The sequence below is a fragment of the Homo sapiens genome, chromosome X (assembly GCF_000001405.40).
Source record: "Homo sapiens chromosome X, GRCh38.p14 Primary Assembly".
NCBI classification, from domain to species: Eukaryota; Metazoa; Chordata; class Mammalia; order Primates; family Hominidae; genus Homo; species Homo sapiens.
In genome coordinates this window covers 83,488,287-83,513,474 of record NC_000023.11, presented here as the reverse complement: position 1 = coordinate 83,513,474, position 25,188 = coordinate 83,488,287, and the positions used below count along the sequence as shown (strand labels likewise).

The window sequence follows — 25,188 nt, the reverse complement described above, 5'->3', positions numbered from 1 at the left end:
AAATATCTACAAAAGGTTCCATTAAAGAGTTCAGGATACATTGAAAGTTGATATTTGTGCAGTTTTGTGAGAAAAGCTATAACTTTTTAACCAATTCTAATTTTTATAGTATATTGAAAGAGAAGCAAGTTAGTTGGTATGAACTGAAAGAGAACCAAGAGGCTTAAAACTTTGAGTTTTGTGCCTGTACATATACCTGTATAGAATAAATATTATTTATAAAGAGTGATATGCCCATGACTATACACACAGCATGTGCCGTATTTCATACACAACAATCGTGTGTGATGCACCATGGAGCTGTAAATTATTAGGCACTTTGAAAAATACAAGACATCATATGCTGTAATCATTACCTATTCAAATGATTAAATCATTTTGGGTCCTCTAACAAAAACACCTACTTCAGACTATGAATTGAGGGGGGTTTACTGCTGGGAAATTATTGAATGTCCTGTTCATTGCTTCATATGCATCTACCAAAAAAAGTTGAATAAGGCATGCCTGTACATACAAAACATTAAAACAGAACTGGTTCAGATTTGGTAATTTACTCCTCAACTATCACTAAAGGTAACAGTCACTTATTTTATGGAGGGTCTTGTGAAATAAAATAAAACAAATGAAATTGTGTATGGGAGTGGGAAGAAGAGTGTAATCAAACTCCCACCCCCAAAATATCTCCTTGTATTATGTTTTCCTTCCCCCCATACTCAGATAGGAATGGACAGAGTTCAGCATTGTTGGGATAAACAGTTTACCTGCGTTTCTGGGCCTAGGAAGAGCCTTAAGAGGGAGAGTGCTTCTCCTTACCTATTATCATCCTCCCATCCCTCCTCAGGGGAATGAGGGATCAGGTACCAAAAGGGAACCTAACAGAATGGAGAGGAAGAAGAAGGATGGGTGCAGTGAGGCGAAATGACAGCCTTATAGAAGATCTGAGCTCAGTTTCAGGAGAGGCAGGTTTGGAGAAAGGTCTATCTGCTGGCAGAGAGAGAGAGAGAAAGCGAGAGCGAGCGAGCGAGAGAGAGAGACTCTCTTTTTGGAGAACATTAGTAAGGTTGCACCTCCTAAAATAAAACCCACCTCGAGCCTTCCCTATGCGGGTTCCCACAATTTGTGCTGTGCTTTGCGTGAGCGTGGGCTCCAGAATAGGCCGTGCCGTGTGCGCCAGTGTATTTCAGAGCTGAGCTGAAAGGCCGAAAGTCAGAGGAAGGGAATCAAGAGTCAAAACAATGACTAATGATTTATAAGCTGAAGCAAAGCAGAAGTGCTGTTCACCCGGAATGTGCCTCTGTTTAAACGCTCCACCTCACACAGCACACAATAAGACCAGGAGAAGAAAACTTTTTTTTTGGAAAAATGTTTTATTTAAACCTTTTTAATCTTTTACAACAATAAAATATTGCGTCAATATAAACCCCTTGACTAAAACTTCACATCAAACATTACAGCGAATTGTTTTCTTTTTGACATCCAACTTATCTGTGAAAGAATTTCCTTTTAAACACAATGCAGAATTTATTGAAAATAAATAATTGTTGGCAACTGCAATAGGCAATTTGAATAAAATAGTTGAAAAAGCAACTCTTAATGAAAATAGCGTTTATTATACATCAGTTACTAAATGAATAAACTAAATGATCTTTCTTTAAATTAATAACTTCAAAAACGTTTAATATACAAAACTGTACAGTTATAAAGTCGGCAGAAATATTTGGGTTAACTCAGGTTCGAACCATAGCAATTAACTGCAAAGAAAAAAAATCGAAACAAACAAAAAACTCCCAACAGTTGTAAAACATGAACTCAGTGTGGGGGAAAAAAAAATAAAATCCCAGAACTAAAACCTAACTACCAACAGAATGCAGAGACTTGACAAAAAAGTAGAAGGGTCCGGGATTTGAATTAACACATGCTCTTCGACCTGCAGCTGAGGGAGACACAGTGTGGTGGACCAGAGGCCTGGCAACTCATACTAACGCATCCTCGACAACCGGGCCGGGCTTTCTGGTCCTTAGGTAGTTTGAAGCTTTGTCTACAGCAGCTGCGCCTAAAGGCCGGACTAGGCGGCCAGCAGTGGCGTGCAGCGCCCCCAGCCAGGTCTGGCCGGCGGCGGCTGGGTGTTGGGTGCTTGGCCGGCCTCACACGTGTGTGCTCCTTGGGAATGAGGTTCGCCTGTGGACCTGGTGTGTGGATACTAGCTAGCAATAAAGCCACAGCAACTGCATATTTTTGGGATCTCTACACAGCCTAGCCAGGTTTTTTTTTTTTTTTGTACTTTTTGTTTTTGTACATAGTAACGCGATACACACAGCTATCTACACACACACGTTTGCACGCGCACGCACACACACACACGCACAGAGACACATACACACAGAGATTTAAAAATATATATATATTTATATTTTAAAAAGCAGGAACCCAGCCTCCCGGGCGCTCGCTAGCTCGCTGGATCGTCGCTGTGGGCTTCCACCAGCTGTGCTTATCAGAAACGCCGAGACAGCTCCCCACGAGCCCACACACAGACAGCGGTATATACATGGGGGGAGAGGTGGTACGCGGATGGACCAGAATCCCTGTGACCTTTGCCAATCATTTCATTGCCGTTCTGCACTGAGCAGAGAATGCCTATCCCCCACTCCCTCGCCACCCCTCCCCAAGGGTTTCTTACTCAGAGGGGGCGGTGAACTGGAGGTGAACCGAAATGGGAGGCGCTGGCCCAGTCGCCAGCGTCTCCGGGTCGTGATCTCCAGTGAAAGTAATCGCGTGTGAAGGCAAAGTCTTTCCTCTAGGAGGGCCGAAGTGAGGTCGCGCGGAAGGTCGCCCTAGCGAGGCTGGGGGCCTGGATTTCTGCGCGCAGGAATCCTGGAGTCCGGTGAGTGCGGAGCCCTCCCAGACTGTCAGGCCACCTCTTTGGCCCAGAGTTGCCGCCGAATCCTTCTCAGATACCTCGATCTATGCTGCGGTAGCCTGCGCGGGCTCCACACTTCCAGGAGGGAGGGCAGAAAGCTGCGAAATCGCCGCTGCTACTTCGCACTAGTTTGCAAACCTAATAGGCTTCCCTATTCTGCCCTTCCTAGGCACTCCACCCCGGAAAAAAAATATAACCAATATCATCATCAATAACTCTCTTCGTTGTATCCTCTCCTCCTCATAGAGATTTGGGAAGGGGGGGGGCGGTGAGTAGATAGGCATCTCTCTCCCCGCCTATTCCCATTCATCTCCTCCCTTTTCTAAGCAATTAAAAAGCCATCAGCTCAACGAAGTAGTAATAATAATAGCAATAATAACATGGAGTGGTCGATTAGATACAAATTATCTCACAAATATTGTGTACAGATTGTAGTAAAACACCGCAGACATTTAGAAACGCTATAGAAGTTTTTAAAAATGCAAAACTAGTCTATTGTAAAACAAATTTCACCTGAAATACAGCTGCTATAACCAAGGCGCTGAAAGGTTATTCAGAGGCACACATCTGTCTTCCCAATCCCTCCCCCGCCCCACCCCGCCCCCACGTTATCCCACTCCTTGTTCTTCCTAGAGAGGAGCGACCAAACAAACCTTACTCTGAGTAAACAATATGTATTGATCAGCAGAAAAGGCTAAAGGGAACTGTTGCCCGGGGAGCCAGGAATATGAGATCCCAGCTTGGACTGCTTAATGTAACTGTGTATCAGCATTGAGAAGCCTGAATGAGAGAGTATGTGTTTCCTTTGTCAACAGAAGTTAGAACCTCTTATGAAAAGGAAAGAAAAGGGAAAAAAAGGAAAGGAAAGCAAAAGAAAAGAAAGGAAAGGAAAGGAAGAGATGGAAGGGAAGGGAAGGGAAGGGGAAAGGAAAGAAAATGAAAGGAAAGGAAAGGGAAAAAGAAGGGAAAGAAAAAGGGGAAAGGAAAGAAAAAGGAAAGGAGGGAAAAGAGAGAGAGTACGAGAGAGCGAGCGAACGAGAGAGAGAGAAAAATAATAAAGAATACTAGAATGAAAGGAAGAGAGTGAGAGAGAAAGAGAAATCCGCGCTGCTCCCAGTGCGGCCGGCCGCCTCCTCGCTTCCTCCAGTCAGAGATCATGGCAAGATGTGTCTGTTTTCACGGTGTGCGAATAAACCTCATGCGGCTGCTGATCCCCTGGCGGAGTCATTCTTTTCTCTTTTTGTCTTCGATTACAGAACCAGACACGCACCACTTCCTTCTCCAACTGGAGGCTGTCTGCCAGCGAGGAGATCTCCTGCGCGGCAGGCTTGGGACACTTGAGGAAATGCGTCTCCAGTACGCCCTTGACACTCACCTCGATGGAGGTCCGCTTCTTGCGCTTGCGGCCCTGTGCAGCGATCTTGTCAATGCTGGTCGGGCTCCCTGTGGACGAATCCGCCTCCTCCAGCCACTTGTTCAGCAGGGGCTTCAGCTTGCACATATTTTTGAAGCTCAGCTGCAAGGCCTCGAACCTGCAGATGGTGGTCTGCGAGAACACGTTACCATACAGTGTGCCCAGCGCCAACCCCACGTCGGCCTGCGTGAAGCCCAACTTGATTCTTCTTTGTTTGAATTGTTTGGCGAACTGTTCCAACTCATCAGAGGTTGGCGTCTCCTCGTCGGAGTGATCCTGGCAATGGTGCGAGCCCAGTTCGCCGTGATCCGGGGGCTCTCGGAGCACCGGGTGCAGGCTCTGTGCAGAGGCGGCAGCTGGAGGTGGGGTGAGTCCCCCGTGTTCCAGCATGCCGCTCACGGTGAAGCCAGGCTGCGAGTACACGTTGAGGGGTTGGCCGCTTGACGTGATAGACGGGTTCGGTGCCGGGCTGGCCCCCCAGGCGTTGGGGTGGTTAGTGTGCGGTGAGTGGTGGGCTACGTGTGGCGAGCGGTGATGGATGATCGCACCCAGTTGCAGGTCTTCGCGCCCGGGCTTCACGTCCTGCTGGTCCAGGGGGCTGGTGGCCAGTGTGGAGGACCATGGGCCCCCGTCGCTCAGACTGGTCACCCAGTGATGCCCGAGGGGATGCCCATTGCTGGGAACTCCCTGCAAGTAATCACTTTGGAGAAGTTTCTGAGGGTTGCGGAAAGGACTCCCCTGCTGCATGCCCGCAGAGTCCGCATGGACTAGGGAGGTGGAACTGAGAATGCTGTAGGGATTCGAGGCAGCTGTGGCCATGGTCGGTGAGGATCCCCTACTAGTTATAATGTGGCAAAGGGAGCAGCTTCAGCCTTTGACATCTACGGTGCGGGGAGCCAAAGACGCTAGCACGGGTTACCGGCACCCACCACGGCCAATCGCAGCGCGTCTCCGCCTGGCCAGGAGTAAGCCCGGCCAATAGCGGTGCGGGAGGTCGGGCTCGCTTTCCAAATTAGGCTGGTGAAGCTCCGGAGTTTCAATGAGACCCAAGCAGGAAGTGAATCAATCTTTCAGCTCCATTGGCTGCCTAGCGCAGAGTGGCGGCCGTACATTTGATTACTACCCCCCCCACCGCGGGGTTTATGTTGATGGGGAAAAGATGTGAGGGATGTGTTGTTGGGGGGCAGTCAGGGAGTGAGGTGGAAAATTAAGGTTGTAGAACTCCTTTTTGATTATTTAGATTAATCTAAATAAAGAAAAAGTAAAGCAAGTTTAAATGTCATTTTGATCTCAGTGAATAGGGATTTTTCAGACTCACTCGGCTGTCTGGGCGGGCTAGTTGTGTGCCTAGGACTGCAAAACAAAACGTCGCTACAAACTTTGAGCAAAGTAACGTCTTCGATTGGACCCTAAACCAATAAAGTTGAAACCAATGATTCCAATAAGAACATTTCAGTTTATTTCATTGTATTAAGAACCTCGATATCAAGGTCTGAAAGCTTCTAAGAGATATCCTGTTCTTTCAATTTTTCTGAAAAATTTTTTAGGTCACGAAGAACTGAATTATTCTGGGAAAGTAAAATCTAATGTGATACTGACAATATTCAGTTATTTCGAAGTTTGCTTCCCAATCTAGCTGGTCAATTGGAAACCTTGCTTTCTCACTGCTCCATATCAGTTCCCATCACAGATCCCACAACTTCTGTCAAAGGTTCTGCTTGCTGAAGCGGGCAGCCCTCACACTCACCCAAAACACTCTGCAGACCCACTACGAATAGGTATACAGGAAAACGTTCGTGACCCCGCGCCCCGATGCCATCCCCTAGGAAAATTGTTTTTAACCTTCACCGCTCCCCCACCCTCCTCACCCGCCCTGCATTTAATGTGCCCAGGAAATTCAGAGAGAGAGAAATGGCGGGATGTTTGGCATCAAGTACCGCCCCCACTTCCCCAGTCCCCATCAAGCTTGAATTTGCTTTCAGCTTGAAAAGATAGGACTGCTTTTACATTTTGGATAGAATAAAAGAGGTGAAACACTTGTGCTCCTTCTAAGCTTTTATAAGTTAGGAAAGGACAAGTCCGTGTGCTCCACAGCCCGGCGCAAAGGCAGTGCTTGGAAGCAGAGTGGGGAGAAAGGCAAAGATTTGATTTGTTCTAGCTGAGAAAAGGCAACACCAGATACCCAACATGGTCTTTGAAGTTAAAAAAATGACCTTTCGTTGAATAATTTTGGAGGTAACCTAGCTGCCTAATTATATTTGCACTTACAGAAGACGGCATCAGAGTTCCCTTATTGGTTTGAAATTCCATTAAATATATTGCAAGAGCGCCTAGGTTAAGCTTGATTTAAATTTGCATACATTTTCATATATTTAGCAGAAATAAAAGAAGGCTTGCTGCTACCAGAAAGTCATTAAGGCATTAGTTTCTCTAAGAAGACAGATCTGAAGAATGTGCAAGAAAATGAGAAAAAAATAAAAACAAGGTGAGCTTATTCTGCCATTCCTTTATATAGCTAAAGAGCATCTATTTCCTGTGAAATGAGTAATTTCTTATGAGAGCACAGAGCAATAGGAGCTGATATTGGTAAGTGTAAACGTGTTTATTAGGCATGAAAACCTGGCATCTGATTCAGATCTATTTCTTTTTTTCACTCTTTTTTTTTAAGGTAAACACTTAGTAATTATTGGCAGAGAGGATCATTTGCCATCTCACCCCCTCTTCCTGCTCTCTCATTGAAACTGTAGCTTCATTTGCCCACGTCTTATTGTAGAGGCTTATCTGCTTTTAGAAATTGAGTTTTCCTTTCTCTCTCTCTCTTTCTCTCTCTCCCGCCCCCCCCAACTCCCCACCTTTTCTGCTAAGGAACTCATTCTTTACTGCTAACTGTTTGCATCTTCCTTTGCAAGAATGCAATCTCATTTGTGCCTGAAATTCCGCTTCTGGAAGAAACAAGAACTTGTCAAAATCAAACAAAAGTAAAGTTTTTAGGTGCTCTGTTAAGCTGGCCTTTGGAAGATCCATTTGTGAGTCTGTGTCGGCTCAATTTAGAGGTCAGAGGGAAACGCGTTGAAGAAACCTTACGTGTAAAACGATCATGATCATTGCCATGCTGTTTTTGTTGTTGTAGGTTCCCCACCCCCACCTTGCAGCTGCCTTTGGGCGAGAGTTGCTAATCTTAAGCCATTCAGGGGGTTAAGGTAATTATGAAATGATAAGACTTTTGCATCAAGAAGGGGATCTTTTTTCAATCTTGACTTGCCTGAGTTCTTACAATCAACCTTCCTCTTGCCCATGGCCTCTGCTCCTGGTACCCTATTTTGCCAGCCGCATCAAGTGGTTCAGACCATTTGCCAGAGGCTTGGAGGGGGAGAGGTAAGGAGGGAGATCTGATCCCAGGGACAGGTTTTTTACACCCTTACTTTGCAGTTTTTTAATGTAAAAACTCTCTTTTTAATGGAAATAATAGCTTTCGTCAGGAGCACAAACTGTCGTTATCGCCTTTATTTTTCTTTTCTCTCTCCTCTTTTTCTTTCTTTCTTTTTTTCTTTCTTTCCATCTTTCTTTCTTCCTTTCTTTCTTTCTCTTTCCTTCTTTCTTTTATTTAAAAAAAATGTTTCCATGAATATAGATACTGCCTATTGAATTCAGGTCCAATCACATCCTCTAGTAACTGTGATAGAATCTTCTCTTGCATGTAAGGTGTTTTGTTTTTTGAATAAAATATCTGCATATAGTCAAATCTTCTTGCTGTTCTAACTAATCTGCTGGAGAGGTTTCCTTCGCCCTCTCCTGTCAGTTTAACTTCCCAAGTGTAACAGATGCCGCTCTCAAGCGCTCCTTTCTGCAGCTTCTCTTTATTCAGCTTCACATATTTCTCCCCATGATCTGGGTTTCCATAGAGAGAGGAATAAAAGGGGGGACCATGGTCACAAATCCCCTGCCCCATGCAAAATAAAAGAGCCACATTCAATAGACGACCCGTCTGGACATGGGAGAAAAATAAGTTGATACGAAGCTACTGTTGCAAAGAGCTGGTAACTAATTTTTCATAGACTGCATTTTGCCTTAAACTCGAAGTTACCACTGGCAAGCTTGCTCTCTCATGCAGCTGGGCTACATACACACTTGATGTGCTCCACATCCTGATCTTGAAGCCCAAACCCGGTCCTCAGATCTGCTTCTCCCCACCCCCTCTAGAGCTTTGGTTTGAATAATATAACAATAGCTGTGGAACCTACCGGGTAGGGGCAGTTAAAAGTCGCCCTAGAGAGGAGCCCAGCTTTGAAGTAGACAAACTGTAATTGTAGCGAATCCCCACCTATCTTCAGCAAAGCAGCACAGGTTTCAATTCCTGTGCCAGGCAAGAACCTGGCACAATTTTTATTCCTTGTTAAGTTGCCCTCACACTCCAATTACACACCCCACCTTACCCTTTCCCCTTGCTTTGTTTCTAAGAGGGCAATTCAGATCATTTTTAAAAGAAAGTCAGATTGGCTTTATTTATATATGTTCATTTATTTGTAACTTCAGAGTTTGCAGTGGATTTTCTTCCTCACAAGATTTAGGGATACCAGCTCCTGAACGTCTTCACAGATACCCACTCCCCTTTCTTTCTAAGCAAGGAAAGATTCACAAAAGAAATTAAGCAGATTAATGTGGTTCAGGTTGTGTTCCTGTGGAAACATCTGAGCACGGCCGCAGCTGGGTAGCCTGCGTCCTGGCTCCTTTGGAAAGTACCCCAGCCATGGGGATTGTGTCTCTTGCAGATTTCATATGTGAGTGTAGATTATGAAGCATTCTCATTATGTGTACAAATTGAGGGTGGGGAGAGGAAGGTGGTTTGGGGCTGAAGCTGGCAGGGGGTCAGGACAGGGAGTAGCGGTGGGGGGTGGAGGGGGTTCAGGAAATAAGTTCAAAAGGCCAGATTTGATTGTGTGCAATATAGCATGAAGCTCCAAATGGCAGGACATGGAACATAGGCATTATCTCAAGATGAAAACTTCACCTTCAACCCAAGTTCACTTTGGAAACAGAACAAGTTAGATTGAGCTTGGTAGGGACAAATGTACATTTTCTTTTTAACACCGGGAGCTCATAAGGGAAGGAAACAATTGAACAGACTTCTCAAAGCAGCAGGGAAAAAAAGCTGTTTTCCTGGTTTCTGCATATTGATCTCATAAGACTGTTCTCGGTGTGAGACTCAGCTGTCCTTCAGAGCACTAGCCCACTGCAGCTCCTCTTATAGTCGCCTTCTTTCTTCTTCTCCTTTTTTCTTTTTCAAAAGCTGTATGGGATGGGGGGGAGGTAAGGGGCTCCTAATATTCTGGGGAAAATTTTTAAAAAAGAATTTAGATGACATTAGGAGACATTGCCAATACTGATGGTAGGACATGGCAAAATAGTTCATAGGCATGAACCAATTGAGCTCAAGCTCAATTAGTTCATTTTTTTTTTCAGGTCTCTATTGGCTTTCCTGAACGTAAGAAAAAGAATCTTCAGAGAAAAAGGAAAGAGGAAGAGGGGAGGGGGTGAGTACACACAGTGAATGCTGCAGCAGAAACAGGGAAACTTAAAATACTCCTCATGTAAAATCTAATACAAATACCCCAATCTGTGAGAACCACTAGTCATTTGCTAGCAAAATTGAATGCTCGGGAGAAGTGCTGAGGCATTGTGTGGCAGGGGCCTCTGACAGGATGGTTAGAGGACAGGCTGGGACAATAGAGACCCTCACTACCAAGGGAAAGGATGCTTGCTCCTATAACTGCGTTGGCCAGGTCGTGTCCGTCCAGTCTCAGTTTCTCTTTAGGGATCACATTTTTGCCGTTGCAATGTCGGTGGGTGAACCCTAATTTTACAGTATCCCAGAGAAAAGAGCTTTACAGAGACAGAGCTATTGTGTCATACTCAGCATAGCTATCATTTTCCTGGCACCAGGATTTGGGGTGTTTAGGAATCATTGTGCAGTTTTGCACTGCAGACCAAGCCTAGAGTCGAGGAACCCAGCGGATGGTTTTACAAAATATATAACACACGTGGAATTACACTTTTATCAAAAAAAAAAATAAGCCGCAGAATGCTTCCAAATTTAAAATGCAATGGTACTTTTGATTTTCATTTTAATTATTTTTTTGAAAGTAAGAAGTGGTAGAGGTATTTAAAAACGAAAAAAAAAATAGTCATAGCTGCGCGATTGATCAGAGGGCGGGTAGAAATCTCTTACTTTAAACCCTGCGCGCATCGGTATTCCAGTCATCAATAAGTCTTCTGGCTGAACATTAGAAGCTTTTCTTAAGTCACTATAGTAGTTAATAGAGCCTCCCCAAATTGCAAATCACTTCCTTCTTCATGGATGGATTAAGGTTTTAATGTGCAAAATTGTAAGAATGCTTAGGCTTCATTCCTAACTGAGGTCCTGTGTTCCCTGCCACCCTGTCTCCCCGCCCCTTAGTAAATGGTATTTATTTGTCTGAAACGGCGTGCGTTCCACGTCCCTTTGTGGTTATGGGACAACAGGAAGCTTGATTATAGATTGATTATGGGATCCTTCTGGAAATGACTTTTAGTAAGTAATCTGCTCAGTGTCTGGAGCTCACATTACCATTTCAGGGCTCCACAAAGAACAAGAATGTAAGTTTATCACTTTGAAAATGAGCAACCGACCAGATTTAACCTGCTGTCATTTTTCAGAAATTTCAATTACTATTATCATTATTTTCCAGGAGGAAAGAGTAGAGAAGGGGCTGCTGATGATTATGAAAATAATGTGTAGTGTGTGTGTATGTGTGTGTATGTATGGGGGGATTGTGGCCCCCCACCCAACAAAATGTATACACACACACACACACACACACACACACACACACACACAGAGAGAGAGAGAGAGAGAGAGTTTGGGGAAAAGTCCAATTTGCAAGGACATTTGGGGAACGCATTTTTAACAAGAATATTAATGCTTCCTCTGTTGTGATTGCTGTTGTGTTAGTTCTTCTGGGGGAGGGGTGTGAGTTTCCTGAGTGGTCTTAAAATTTCCCTTTTCTGTAACTTTTCTTTGGACCGACATCTCTTGCACTTTGCCTCACTATGGATTTGAGGAATCGATTTAGCTCCCCTGCCCCGAGAAGAGTTCCCTTCGGTCGGGTATTCCGGTTTCCAGCTGCCTGTGAATACATCAGTCAGGCCATCGTGGGTGTTGTGCGTGCACACACACATTTAATATCCAATAACTTTTTGGAATCTCTTTTCCAAGTACAAGAGCTCAGGTAGACAGCAGAACCTAGCCCCTGACCAGTGCTTTGCCCTTGGTGATTCTGCTCCCGGCTCAGGTGGTTGTGACTCCCCCAGCCAGCTCGCTCCCGTTCTGGTGTTGCCGCTAACCCAAGTCAGCTAGCTCCATTCTGCCGAGATGCAAAGCCATAAAGAATCAAGGAGCTTCCCCAAAACATCAGACAAGGCATCGGCAGGAGGGGGCGCGATTTGGGCAGCAACAGGATCCCTCGCCTTCTGGAGAGCTTGGCTAAAATGTCCAGATGTTTCGGAACGGTGGACCTGACCTTAGCCTCCTGGACATACACTGAATAGAGGTGTTGTGGTGGGGATCAGGAGCATTCTACTGAGATATATTGTTTTAAGATAACTCCGCGGGTGGCAATTCTTTAGGCCAAATGGATTCTATTGCGACACAGGGCAGCTGGCTAGAGGGGCTTATTTTGACAGCCTTCAGGACTTCATTGCCCCCTAAACCTCCCCAGCCTCTCTTCTATTTGAAGCACGATCTGAAGGATTGGTGGCAAGGTCACTTTCCCTCTGTTGGAGGCGGAGGGAGGGGGCAAGGATCTAGAAGCAAGACACCAAAGTGTCTGTATTAGCCTAGAGCTCCCGGCCCCCCACCCCGACAATAGTCGCCACCTGCTGTTCTTTTGGAGAGCCCTGGGCCTTTTCGGCCTGGCCAAAGGAATATCCTAGTCCCTGGGCAGCCTCTGCTGCTCCGCCAGGCGAGCCCCTCCTAGGTCGAAGGTTCTTTTTGCCCCTTGAACACTACCAAGCCAGTTGTCCTGCTCTCTAAACCTGCACCTATGTAAAGGGCTCAAGGTAGTGCTTTCTCAGGAGACAAGGCCCATCTCCTTCCCCAACAAATGATGTGTGTCACCACAGCTCTGCAGCAGTGACACCCCCCCTCGGGGGATATGCTCAGGACTAGCACCCCTATTATTCCCCTGGTGTGTTAAAGTGACAGTTGCCCTAAAATATTTTGTTCCGGCAATAAGGTGTTAACTTAGATAACATTAAGGGAGGAATTTAAATCTGCCTATTCCTCTTCAAAAATAAGAAGTTTCATGTTTTCAACAATTGAAGGGGCAAGAAAACCTTAGGCTTCTAAGGAAAGACATTTAGGGCAATCTAAATATCAATACTCAGATGTCTTTGGTACATCCTAAATATTTCTTTTAACTTATTCAAATAATAGTGAGAATGAGGCTTTTGCTTTTCCTCACCTATCTTCTTCTTAGTATTTCTACTTTTGGGGAGAGATTGGAATTCTTGTTTGCCAATAAACAATAGTTCAATCACATCTGCTCTCATCTTAACCTTTAAATACAATATTTTTTTTCCAGGTGCTTGATGTAAACATTAGGTATGTTACCACCTCTCTTAAACAAATGGATAACTCACATGTTTGCGCATGTGGTGAGGGGCAGTGGGTGTGAATTTACAGGGTTGGACCTTTGCATATTGGAGAACAAACCTATTTGAATATAAATTGCATTCAATAATGATCTCAACTCTTGAGTGTGGATCTCAGCTCAGCTAAGCAGAATCTTAGAGTTGTGGAGGATTGGTTTTCTTTTAACAGCTAGTTGACAGTTTTGTAAAGAACCGAGATTGTCCTATACAGACACCCACATTAGTGATGGAAAGATGCATTTGAGTCCCCCCTACTTTTATTCATCCCTTGGAGTAGAAGAATTGCATTTTCAAACATATTCTGTATGTTTTCAGTAGCATCAAGGGGTCTTAGAAATTTTTTTTACAGAGGAGGAAATTAAGTTACAACATGCAAACAGAAACACTTTGGGAAACATAGAATATGTTTGTTTTCCTAAAATTTACTACAAATGGAAAAAAAGTCAAGCTTTCTTAAAACAGTTTTTGTGAGATGATAACTTGCGTTATAAATATATTTACACTTCTCATTTTATGTCATTAGAATAAGTCTCATCCCACACAATTGAATTTTAAATTCTATTTAATATTCCATCCTACCACATTTTAAAAGGAGGACTATCTGTACCATGCTATGAAAGGAAACCAGAATATATTTATTGTTAAGGTATGAAGGATATTGAGGAATAATACAATGAAGTTTGGAATAAAAATATGTTCAGTTAATTTTTACTAGCCTTTACACATTCATTATTAACTCTTCCAAGTGCTCATTTGAAATAAAAATTATATCTGCTATGTATAGCATATCAAGAGTATTATGTCTTTATGGAATAATGCTTACTTTTGTAGGTGATTGTTGAAGGTAAATAATGTTCATGAAGTAAGCTAACTCAGATGATTCATGGAAGTATGTTAAAAAGATATGTTAAAGTGTTTTAGCTTACATTTGTATAGTTGGACACTCTATTTTTAGATATGTTGCAGTATTTCTCATTTGGTGGATCCACAAACTGCTTTGAAATGACTAGTAGAGTATAAGTAGATTGCAAGTAAACCTAGTGAATTAAGATGATTCTCTATCAGTTTAATTTATGTTTTATAGTTAGTTTAGCATTCTGATTTGATTGCCTTAGTAATGTGAATTGCCTACAGCTGCTGATGATACAGCTTTAATTCTGTTTTAAAGGTCATGTAAACATGTGCCTGTAGCATAAGGAATGCAAATTCAATTCCCTTTTAATGTTTCCTCACATTCACTTCACCGCCTTCACCTAGAAAATTAGTGAGATTTAATATAAAGTATTCTAATGTTATAATTTCATTAAAATCCTTTTTCAATGCTTTACTTTTCCTTTTGCAGGGTAAAGAACTCTTCCTCCGCTTTGCGGTGCATAGCTCATGCAACATACATCACTCATACTGGAGGCAGAAAAACATTTATGTTATGATCTATTTACTTTTCTGATGCTTTTACTAATAAAGAGCTGAGAACTTCATTTCAGTTTCTCTGTAGCCGCAGGTGAAAAGGACACAAAACAAACTAGAAAATATAGCCACATTTTAGATTGCAGTAGACAGAAGCAAAATATTGTACAGATATGTAGGAGCCTGTAGTCACAAGCATTTTCATAATATAAACACATAATCGAAACTGAACTGTGGCAAACATATAGCAATAGGAGAAAAATATTTAAAATATATGTGACATAGAGAAGAATGCTTTAGTTGTTCCAAATTCATAAGAAAAATATATAAATTATGGCCTTCAGATTCCATGGCTTAAATATTGTTTGATATGCAGATTTTTTTTTCATTACTTAAAAAATATATTAATCCCTTGAGATTAATACAAGCCTGTGCCACTAGATTATATTAAAACTTTTAAAATGTACTTTAAGAAATTGAATAAGTCCTTGCAAAATATACAACTGTTAGTAGAAGAGACAGTCATGTGGAAATGAGAAAAATGGGGGATGTAAAACAGCCAAGTTGAAATAAAGTAGAAAGTTTAACCTAATATTCTTGGTGACACCATTGTGCTGTTTTATAATTTATATCTCTGCTCTTCATATGTCTCTAAGCTGGCACTTTTTTGCACTGAAAGTTAGCTAGATGTCATAATTTCAGATATCTTTTTGCTTAAATTGAATTGGCCAAAGGAATAGAATGTGAAAAATATAGAAGTGGAAAAATATACATGAATACATTTATTTGTTAGCATATTGTTTAATATAACAAAAACAAAAATAAAAGCACATATAAATGAAATCGGAATGTAATCATTCTCCAATGTAGCTTAATTTGGTATTGAGGAAGTGTAATTCAAAAGTTCAGACCTCAACTTTGAAAGATAACTGCTGTTGCATTGTAATAAGTGTGTTTTGTTCTATGTTTGTGTGTTAAAATAGTTACCCAAAACACGTGAACAACTATGAATGCCCATTGAAGAAAGGGCTATGGCCATGAACATCTTAGGTGCTGATATAAGCCGGTGATTTTTCATATTTTACCTCTGGCTTACTGCTCACAGTTTTCAAACACTTCTCTCTCCCTCATTTTCTTATTAGAGGGGACTCGACATACAAAGTTTATATGTAAAGCTTTGAGAAAATGCCACATTTTCATTAGCACTCTGGACTCCGACAATATAATACTGCAGAGATACCTGATTGATGATAAAATCAGCATGGAAGTAGACTCTGTTTTCTGTGATTTTGCCCTCCTGCTTTATGTCAGTACAAGTTACAGATGAAATTGCTTGGAGATTTTTTTTTGTTTTAGTTTTGCACAATCTTATTGTTAATGTGTATATATTCTTAAAATGAAAACCACAACTGGAAGAGCTGTGTTACACATAAATTGTACAAATTCCCAATGTGTTTTGCCTTTGATAGAAGACTTTTAGTCATATTGTTGTTGTTCTGCCTAAGGAAATTTAAATTGTGCAATAATACAGTCCTACATTTTATTTTATTTATTTTTTATTTTTTTGGAATTTGTCATTTTGAATAATAGATTCAAATGAGCAAGTTTCTAGCTTTTTATTCTGAAAAAATGTAACAATTCTGCTCATAAAAGTATTCTTTTAAACAGAAATGAACTGTAAATAAATTAGGACCCCCCCCCAACAAAATCACTGCATGGAGGTCTATGTGTTGTGTCTACGCTGAACACGGGAGGTCTATGTGTTGTGTCACTCATTTGCTTGTATGCGTTTGATGTCACCTTAGTCAGATGATATTGCACTTATAGGTGTCAATTTCAATATAGGTACACATTTTTCCTTGATGGCAATATTAGTACTATTATCCTATCAAAAAGATACAGAGATACAATTGAAAGTTAGCTATTTCATGAGTGCATGCTCTCCCACTAAAAGAGCGAACAGTGTTCATGTGTGAGTAGCATGTGTCTCAGGGATAATCCCTACCTAAAATAGCTAAAAATAACATTTAAAAAAAATAAAGCACAAAGAGACAAAAAATGTCAGCATTTACATTTAATCCAGGTATGCTGTAATCCATTTGCAAGGTAGTTAACAGACATGCTTCTTTAAATTTTGTGCATACACACACAAACATTCTGAAAAAAAATTAGGGTGCTTTTTAATGCAGCTACCCCCCACAATATATTTTCATATTTTTTCCACTGCATTTTATTTCCACAGTTTTCTAATATCCTGTAGCTTCTCCCATTGAATAATAGCACTTACTATTTGTGTTCTGAGAATGAATTATTTGAACACAAACAAGGTACATAGAAGCATTTTGAGGCTGAGTCTATTAATTTTTATCCTTATCACTGCTTGGCTTTAAATATAAAGAGTGTTAAATGACTTTATTAAGTTAAAAATAGCATTACAAAGCACCTGTGGTAGTCTCTTATCAAATCTCTATATAGTAACAATGATGGAAATTTGTTGTTATAACTATTCAGAGAAAGTTTACAATTTACTTAAAATCAACTTAACTAGAAAAACTGAGAGAAATAATGTGCTTGAGACAATGAGCCACAATTCGATATTTCCTAATAATGTATGTTCTTGCATGTTCTACTATGTGTTTTTCTTCGTTATCTTCTTATATCTGAAGTTCTATTCCCACCCCTCTTCCCTCCACCCCATGTATTTGATCATCTCTTCAAGTCCCTTGGCTGAACCAATCTCTTTTCATGCAAGGATAAAAAGAGAAGAACTTCAAAGTAGGTTCAGGTAATTAACAGCTGAGGGGAATATAATCTAAACCATAGGCCCTGCTTTGCACCCAGGCTGGCTCTCTGAGCCAGCCGGCAAGGGAGTGCCTATTCCCTATAGCATCTAAATCTGCTTCCTCTGAACAGCTCTGCCAGGCCTCTAGTTATCACATCTGCATTTCAAACACCGTGGCTCTGGCATTAATTATTAATTAGCCTACAGTCACCCTAGAGGATTCAAGTTCCAGTCTGCACATACTTATTCATTGACCTCTATCTTAGTTTTTGTTGGGGTGGAGGGGGGGAAACTCAGTAGAATGCTTAATAATTTTCTTTCTTTTAGACCTTCTGTTCTAGTTTCAATGAAGAGAAAACAGTATATTTTTCCAAGTGGGAATAATCACAGAGTGGCCCCCAAATTTGTTTACAGTAAAATACTTTGTGAAAAATTGAGGGACATAGAAGGAATAAAATGATTTTTAGACAGTATTGAGTGTAGAAAGTTTCTTTTTAATATTTTACCAATTGACTGATTGTAGTTTCCTCAAACTGGGAGATAACAATCATGGGAGAAAGCCAAATAATTCCTTAGTTCTCAGTGCGAGCAACTGCAGAGCTTGTAAAGTGAACTAGATTCCATCCTTGGTTAATACATATGTATAATCAATGAGACCTATAGTGGTAGGTGCTGCTGAAAGCAGGAATGTCCAACAAATCTATAAACAAAATGATTTTTAAAAAGATAAATATTCTCATTTTTGGTTTATTTCAAAAAGAAATTTAAAGAAACTCCTTTCTTACCAGCAAACATTTTGATGTGTACTAAACTATTATGCTATTTGTCACAAACCTTCGGGCCTAAATGTGAAAGCCTTTACAGAGTACTATAATGGTTAACTGAGTCAGCTGAGCCCTGCTATTGACTAAATGACCTTAAATCTCATGTCATCTCTGAGACTCTGACTTCCCTTTAGGAAAATGAGGGTAACATTAGACCCTACCTCATGGAATTGTTATGAGAATTAAATGACATAACGCATAAAATAGTTCATCATAGTGCCTGACATATAGAAATGCTCAATTAGTGTTAATAATTGTAAAAAAAAACTTGTTCCATTATTTTGTTGAGAGAATTTGAGAGTTTTTCTTACTTTTTATTTAAATATCAATTCCTCTCCAAAATAAATGAATAAATGTCAAATCCACTCTTCATGTTCTTCCCAACGTGGGGTTTTTGAACAACCATGTATGAGAACAGCCCCTGCTGCCCTACTCCTAAGTTATTTTTACTAGTGCCCCTATTACCATTCAGTTGCCATCATGATCACCCTCTTCTTCACCCCAAAATACTGTTTTCTTGCTTTGTTTTCTGGCAGTTCTTCTGGAATCTAACCATCTCTGGTGCAAATCTTTCTCCCTAATATAGGAAACCTTGTGGAGCTTTTCCAAACATTTCAACTTTTGTCTTTGACCTGTTGAGTTCCCTCTGGAATCACAGTCTTCTTAAGCTGGTGGGATTGGGGGAGGGGTCTTGTTACCTATGCCAAGACTGGGAATGTGATTCCAATACTGATGTAGAAAATAACAATCCCACCATTCACATTTATCATTTTGGTAATTTTCCCTGTATTATTTTCTTTGGTTTTAAATATCTATAAATATGATTGTGATACTGCTTTATAAGCAATTTCATGTGTTTTCTTTTTCAACGTGACATTATATTACATGATTTCCCTATGTCATTGCAAACTCTTACTATTAATATTTTTTAAAGATATCATGTTATTTCATATTAAAAGTGTAACATAATTTACATAAACATTCCTTTTTGTTGACTTTTCAAATATTATGAATACAGTGTAATTTATATTTGAACACAAATATATTTGTAAAATGTTTTATTACCTTTTTTGGTACTTAGTTTCAGTCTACGGACACACACACACACACACACACATCTTATTTTTTTTTTTAAATCTCACACATTAGCTATCCCTATGATTGTGTCATGTGCAAATTAAAGACTCTTCTATATCTTGGTCCACATTGAAAATAATATTGAAAAGCATAAGGCAAAAGAGAGAGTCAAAGTTTTACCACTTGAGATTTTGGTCAGGTTTACAAACTTGTATATCAAATTATAAATACCTTAGCATCCAGCAAAAATGTATCTTTATTTTTACCACGTGAAACCCATGGGATTTTGAAAGTCAAAAGAAACTTTAGATCAGTGATCCCCAACCTTTTTGGCACCAGGGACCAGTTTCAAGGAAGACAATTTTTCCACAGACAGGTGCTGGGGACAGTTTCAGGATGAAACAGTTCCACCTCAAATCATCGGGCATTAGTTACATTCTCATAAGGAGTGTGCAACCTAGATTCCCTTGCACGTACAGTTCACAATAGAGTTTGCACTTCTATGAGAATCTAATGCCCCTGCTGATCTGACAGGAGGTGGAGCTCAGGTGGCCATCCTCTCTTGCCCGCTGCTCATCTCTTCCTGTGCCACCTGATTCCTAAGAGGGCACAGACCAGTACTGGTCCCCAGCCCAGTGGCTGGGTACCCCTGCTTTAGATGATTATACAGTCCAGGACCTTAACATAAAATTTTGAATGATTGTTAAAAGGCCGCCACATCTGTACCAGTTCCACCTGAATTTTATAAGACAAAGAAATGGGGCTGGTTCAACATGACTTGTTTTTAGTGAATCTATAATGGCTTCTAATGAACATCCTTGGATATTTTTAGGTTCTTACAAAAGTTTTTAATAATAAATTTGAGAATTTTGGGGGGCATTAATTGGTCTATATTTTGTAGAATCTATCATTTCCCCCTTGTTGAGATTTAGTTGTTCACTGCCAATGGCTAGCTCTTACTTAAAGCAATAATATGCCAAAATTGCAGAACTATAATTTTGTATTGCTAATCAGCAATGACGTTGTGCAGTAAAAATATTATAGAGATAGCAATAAAAATTACATGTACTAGAATCATTATCTCCTCCAGTCAAGGTACTAGAGCAGGAGGTTTATAAAGCATGTATAGAAATAGAAGTGGGTGAATCATGATTAGACTAGATGACTTTTAAGATATTAAGTACTCAGATGCTCTAAAAGACATTTACTAAAATTATTCTAAGACTAAGATATGCTAATTAACCGATTATAAATTGTTGAAAATGAATTTCAAGGTTTTGTCTTTAGAGATGTTTTAAATGACAAATTTAGGTTTCATCAAAAAATAAATTATTTTTTATTCACTATTTTAAAGTAGCAGTATTTACTAAATAAAGTTCAAATTGTGAGATAATTATGTAGTCCAAATATCTCAAATGTATTTTTAAAAGCAATTTAAAACTTTACCCCAATAGAATTTTAAATTGTTTTAGCAAAAACTGGAAATATATACAAGTACATATAAGGGCTAATTGAGATACTGATGGAGATGATGAACTGAGATTCTAAATTACTCAGAAAAAATGCCTTGTGTGGATGAACTAAAATGATATGACATTATCTACAAGTGGTGAAAGAATCAATGGTTTAAGAAGTGAAGCCTTTAAGATGATTAATAAAAACTTATGTGATTAAATTGTTGTGTAAAGTAAAATGAATGGATATGTGACTGACCATATAAATACCTGCTCCACTACGTTATCTATTATTTTTAAGTAGTAAACAGGAGCTTTTATGATAGAAGAAGTCCAAGATTTGGAATGAATCATATTTGGGTTCAAATTTCATCTCTACTCCTCCTTCAATGTAAGAGAAAATCATTAAAACTCTCTAAACCTCAGTTTTTTTTTTTTAATTTGTGAGATGGAGATAACAAAATAATATAGCTTGCTGGTTTATCTTAATAATTAAATTTTAAAAATCTGAATAGCTTTTAGATCTGTGCATGACACATGGCAGATATTTCAGCAAAAGGGAAGGAATTATTTTTATTGCTATAACTTTTTCTGTGTAAATGTGTATTTGACAGATAAAAATTTTACCTCTAAATGGCCCACAAAAGCCTTTAAAAATTTATCAATTTGGATTGAAACATTTATATTGCATTCTCTCGTTCTTTCAGTGAGCTATAGTGAACATAACTGATATGTTTCTTAATGGTCCTGGGTAATCACAAGAAATTCTCATGTCTTTGCTCTTCTCTCATGTGTCAATGACCTTGGCCTGCTAATTTATTAAGAGCTGTGTTTGTCCCATTTCTAAAATTGTTCTAAGCTGTGCATTTTCAGATCTTTATCTGATTTTCCAGTTTTTTTTCTTTTTAAGTTCAACTGTCATAGTTAAAAGATGCTGTGAATATACCTGCCTGTAGTAACCTCGACCTCATTTTCTTTCCCCTTTTTCTCTAACCTGCTGTAGGCTCAGAAAACAATAACAGCAGCCTATCTACATTGTGCTTTACAGTCTACAGTGTGCATTCATATTTAACACTTTGGACTGAACATTTGACACTTTGGAGTGAATAGATATAATTATCCTCAGTTTACAGGTGGGAAAATGAAGGCACAGAAAAGGTAAGAGATGTGCTCAAGGTTTTACAACTCAGATTCAAACCAATCCTTTTGACTAAAGGCTTCAAAAAATGTATTTTGACTAATCAGAGAACTTATCTTTACATTTGTATTGCTAATTATAACCCACATACCATATATAAAAAACTGAAAGTACAACTTGGAAATGATTGTAAAGCAACCCCCATGTAATTCCTTAGGGAAAGAAATAAAACACTCTCAACACCTGTGTACATTTTCTTAAATGTAGCCCTCTCCTCCACTAAGAGTAACCCTCTTCTGACTTCCATGGTTCGCTTTGTAGTTTTTCCACCCGTGTTCTGAAATAACAGTTCAGTTTTGCCTATTTTTGAATGTTATTCAAATGAAATCATACAGTATGTGCTATTTTATAACTGGCTGATTTTGATCAATATAATATGAGTGTGTGTCACCCACATTGTAGCATTAGTTGTAGTTCATTAACACTTCTGCATAGTATTTCATTGCGTGAATACACTATAATTTATTTATCCCTTTGTATTGTTGATGGATATTTATGTTGCTTCTAGTTTTTGCTCTAAGGAATGCTGCTATGAGCATTTTTGCACATGGGTCTTTTACACATAACTTATATTTCTGTAAGGCATATAGATCTAACATTGGAATGTTGTGTTGTAAGGTATCTCCAATTTTGCTAGATTACTCCAAATTTTTTTCCAAAATGATTGATCGTATCAATTAACAGCCTTTTATTCCACACTCATTCAGAATATGAGATTTCTCATTGTTTCATTTTATCTTTCCTTTTTTATGACATTCCTGCTGTCATTTGCACATATATTGGGTTGTCTTACTTTTTCATATTACATCTTTGTAGTAATGCTTTCTGTGTCCTTAGAAGGATCCCTTTGTTGGTTATATTTTTTCAACTATATTCTTTCATCCTGTGACTTACCTTTTACATTTCTTAATAGTTCTTTAAATGAAAATAAATTCTTAATTTAAAAAGTCAAATTTATTCATTTTTCCCCTTATAGTTAGTGCTTCTTATGAAATTAAGAAATATTTTCTTGTCCTGAGAGCATAAATATATTTGTTTTTTGAGACAGAGCTTTGCTCTGTCACCCAGGCTGGAATGCAGGGCCATGATTAGGCTCATTGCATCCTCAACCTCCCAGGCTCAAGCACTTTGGCCTCCCAAAGTGCTGGGATTACAGGAATAAACCACCGTGCCTGGCTGATAATATATTATTTTATTATCTGAAAGCTTTGTTGTTTTGTGTTTCAAACACAGGTCTATAATCTACCTGGATTAATTTTTGTGACCATGTGATGTAGGGCTCCAATTTTATTTTTACCTATATGGGCAACTTGTTTCACCATTATTTATTGAAAAGACTGATCTACTTTGTTAATGTTGTATAAATCAAGGGATCCTACATGCATTTGTCTGTTTCAAGGTTTTCAATTATCTCTCATTTGGTCTATATATAAATCTGTGCAATTGCCATATTCTTTTTTTTTTTTTTTTCCTGAGAAAGGGTCTTGCTGTGTTACCCAGGCTGGAGTGCAGTGGCGCGATCATGGCTCATTGTAACCTCAGCCTCCTGAGCTCAAGAGATTCCCCCCACCTCTGCCTCCTGAGTGGCTTGGACTACAGGCGCATACTACCATGCCTGGCTAATTGTATTTTTTTGTAGAGGTGAGGTTCTGCTGTATTGCCCAGGCTGATCTTAAACTCCTAAACTCAAGCTATCTTCCAGCTCAAGCTATCTTCCAGCCTCCTCTTCCCAAAGTTCTAAGATTACAGGCATGAGCCACCGTGCCCAGACCATAGTTTTTATTACTATAATTTTATAATTTCCTAAATAAATTTGCTAAAATTTGTTTTTTTCTCCAAGAATATCTTTTCTACTTTTAGACTTTTGTGTTTCCATATAAATGTTAAGATAATCTTGTCAATTTAGAGAAAAGCCCATTGAGATATTAATGGAGATTTCATTGAATTTATTCATTTTTTGACCATACGGGGTCTTCCAATCCATAAACATGACATCTCTCTCTCTCTCTCTCTCTCTCTCTGTTAATGAAGTTTTATATCTCTCCATAGAAATCTTGTTCATTATTTTGTCATGTTTTGTATAGGGCACCCTTTTACAAATATCACTTTATAAACATTTGTTGCTATTTTATAGAGATATGATCGATTTTGCAATTGGTTGTTTAGTTTCCCTCAACCTGCCAAGTTCTTTAATTAATTTTAATATTTTATATATAGATTTTGTTGGATTTTCCAGGAACACAAACATATAACTTAAAATAATAAGTTTTATCTATTTGCTTCATATGTATGAAATATTAGATTTTTTCATCTATTCACTACTCCTGTGCAATAGGATTATACAACCCAGAACATTGTCATATGACTTGCTTGTGCATCCCTTTCCACCCGCCAGTAGCTGTGGGAGGGCTATACTTTCTGCATCAATGACTTGATCATTTGAAATGGAACATGGTTTGGGTGATATCATGTGAATGAATATAGTGTGTGCCATGTTTGAACAAAGGATTTAACTGCCATCTTGTAGATTGGTTTAGATTCTTTTGCACCTGTATGTCCCCTGTCTGAGGAAGAACATAACTCGAATGGGGCTGGTGCTTAACCTGGGGCTAAGAATAAGAAGACATGTGAAGCTAAGCACAGCTGTGTAGAACTGCAATCAACCCGCAACCTTCATGTCATGTAAGCAAGAAATAAGTGTTGCTGAAATTATTGGAACTGTTATTATAGTAAAAGTTGAAATAAAATACAATCATTTTAGCTTTTACTTTTGCAGCAGTTATTAAGCTATTGTCTTTCTGCTCTAAATTTACCCTTCTATTCTCTGCTCCGTGGGACTGAGGTGAAGCTCAGCATAGCACATTTTTTCTTTGCAACTTGGTTCTGCATTATATTTCTTCAATAGTGGGCCTTAGGAAGAGATTTTCCGGTTGGAGATGAGGGGGAAGGAATTTGTTCTTTCTTCCTTGCTCCCTGTTTCACTCCAGCAATGGCTCTTCACCCCAGCAGTGGCATTTGGTTTCAATAGCAGTTGGTTCCAATGTCCAGCATTCCCTGACACTCCCAGATCCAACCCCATTATAAATACTTGGAGGTATTAACACAAACTGGAGGTATTACCTGTGGCCTATTTTCAGAGGTCTGAGTCCCTGATCCATGAGATCCCCTTCCAAGCTCCTGAATACCATCACTAGTCAGGCAGCATCCTCTCAGAGAGGATTTCTCAAGTCTTTTTCTCCAAGCTTCTAGGTTCTGATAACTCTAATCTATCTCCTTTGTCTCTCTAGGTCTAGGGGCGGTATCTGTTTCTGCAGTTGCTCTCTTGTTACCACAGTGTTTGCAACAGCCTTTTCAGTCTTCTGACGCCTATTTATATAACTCACATTATTAACTTTTCTCTGCTAAATGGACCATTTTCTTGAGTTAC

General features: G+C 39.6%; 1 protein-coding gene and 1 long non-coding RNA gene across 2 annotated transcripts, besides 1 other annotated feature; one reads left to right on the top strand and one right to left on the bottom strand.

Annotated features, from left to right (window-relative positions):
* Window positions 1-1,347: 1,347 nt before the first annotated feature.
* Window positions 1,348-5,185, bottom strand: POU3F4 (POU class 3 homeobox 4). Its single transcript, NM_000307.5, has one exon. It carries the CDS (start codon window positions 5,148-5,150, stop codon window positions 4,065-4,067), a length of 1,086 nt encoding a protein of 361 aa, NP_000298.3. The 5' UTR covers window positions 5,151-5,185; the 3' UTR covers window positions 1,348-4,064.
* On the top strand, window positions 6,744-24,917 carry LOC107985635 (uncharacterized). The gene is made up of 3 exons (XR_001755986.2): window positions 6,744-6,816; window positions 9,792-9,862; window positions 21,567-24,917. It is a non-coding gene; the product is annotated as an uncharacterized LOC107985635 (long non-coding RNA).
* Window positions 8,278-8,779: an enhancer, noted in NCBI's record as "NANOG hESC enhancer chrX:82759704-82760205 (GRCh37/hg19 assembly coordinates)". NCBI's record gives its function as "activates a minimal SCP1, AML or CMV promoter by ChIP-STARR-seq in naive H9 embryonic stem cells {active_cell/tissue: H9 hESC(naive)}" and the evidence as "EXISTENCE:reporter gene assay evidence [ECO:0000049][PMID:30033119]".
* Window positions 24,918-25,188: the final 271 nt, after the last annotated feature.

What these genes read in the sequence shown, in the direction of transcription:
- POU3F4 (NM_000307.5), bottom strand. Translation starts at nt 5,150, where the DNA reads ATGGCCACAGCTGCCTCGAATCCCTACAGCATTCTCAGTTCCACCTCC.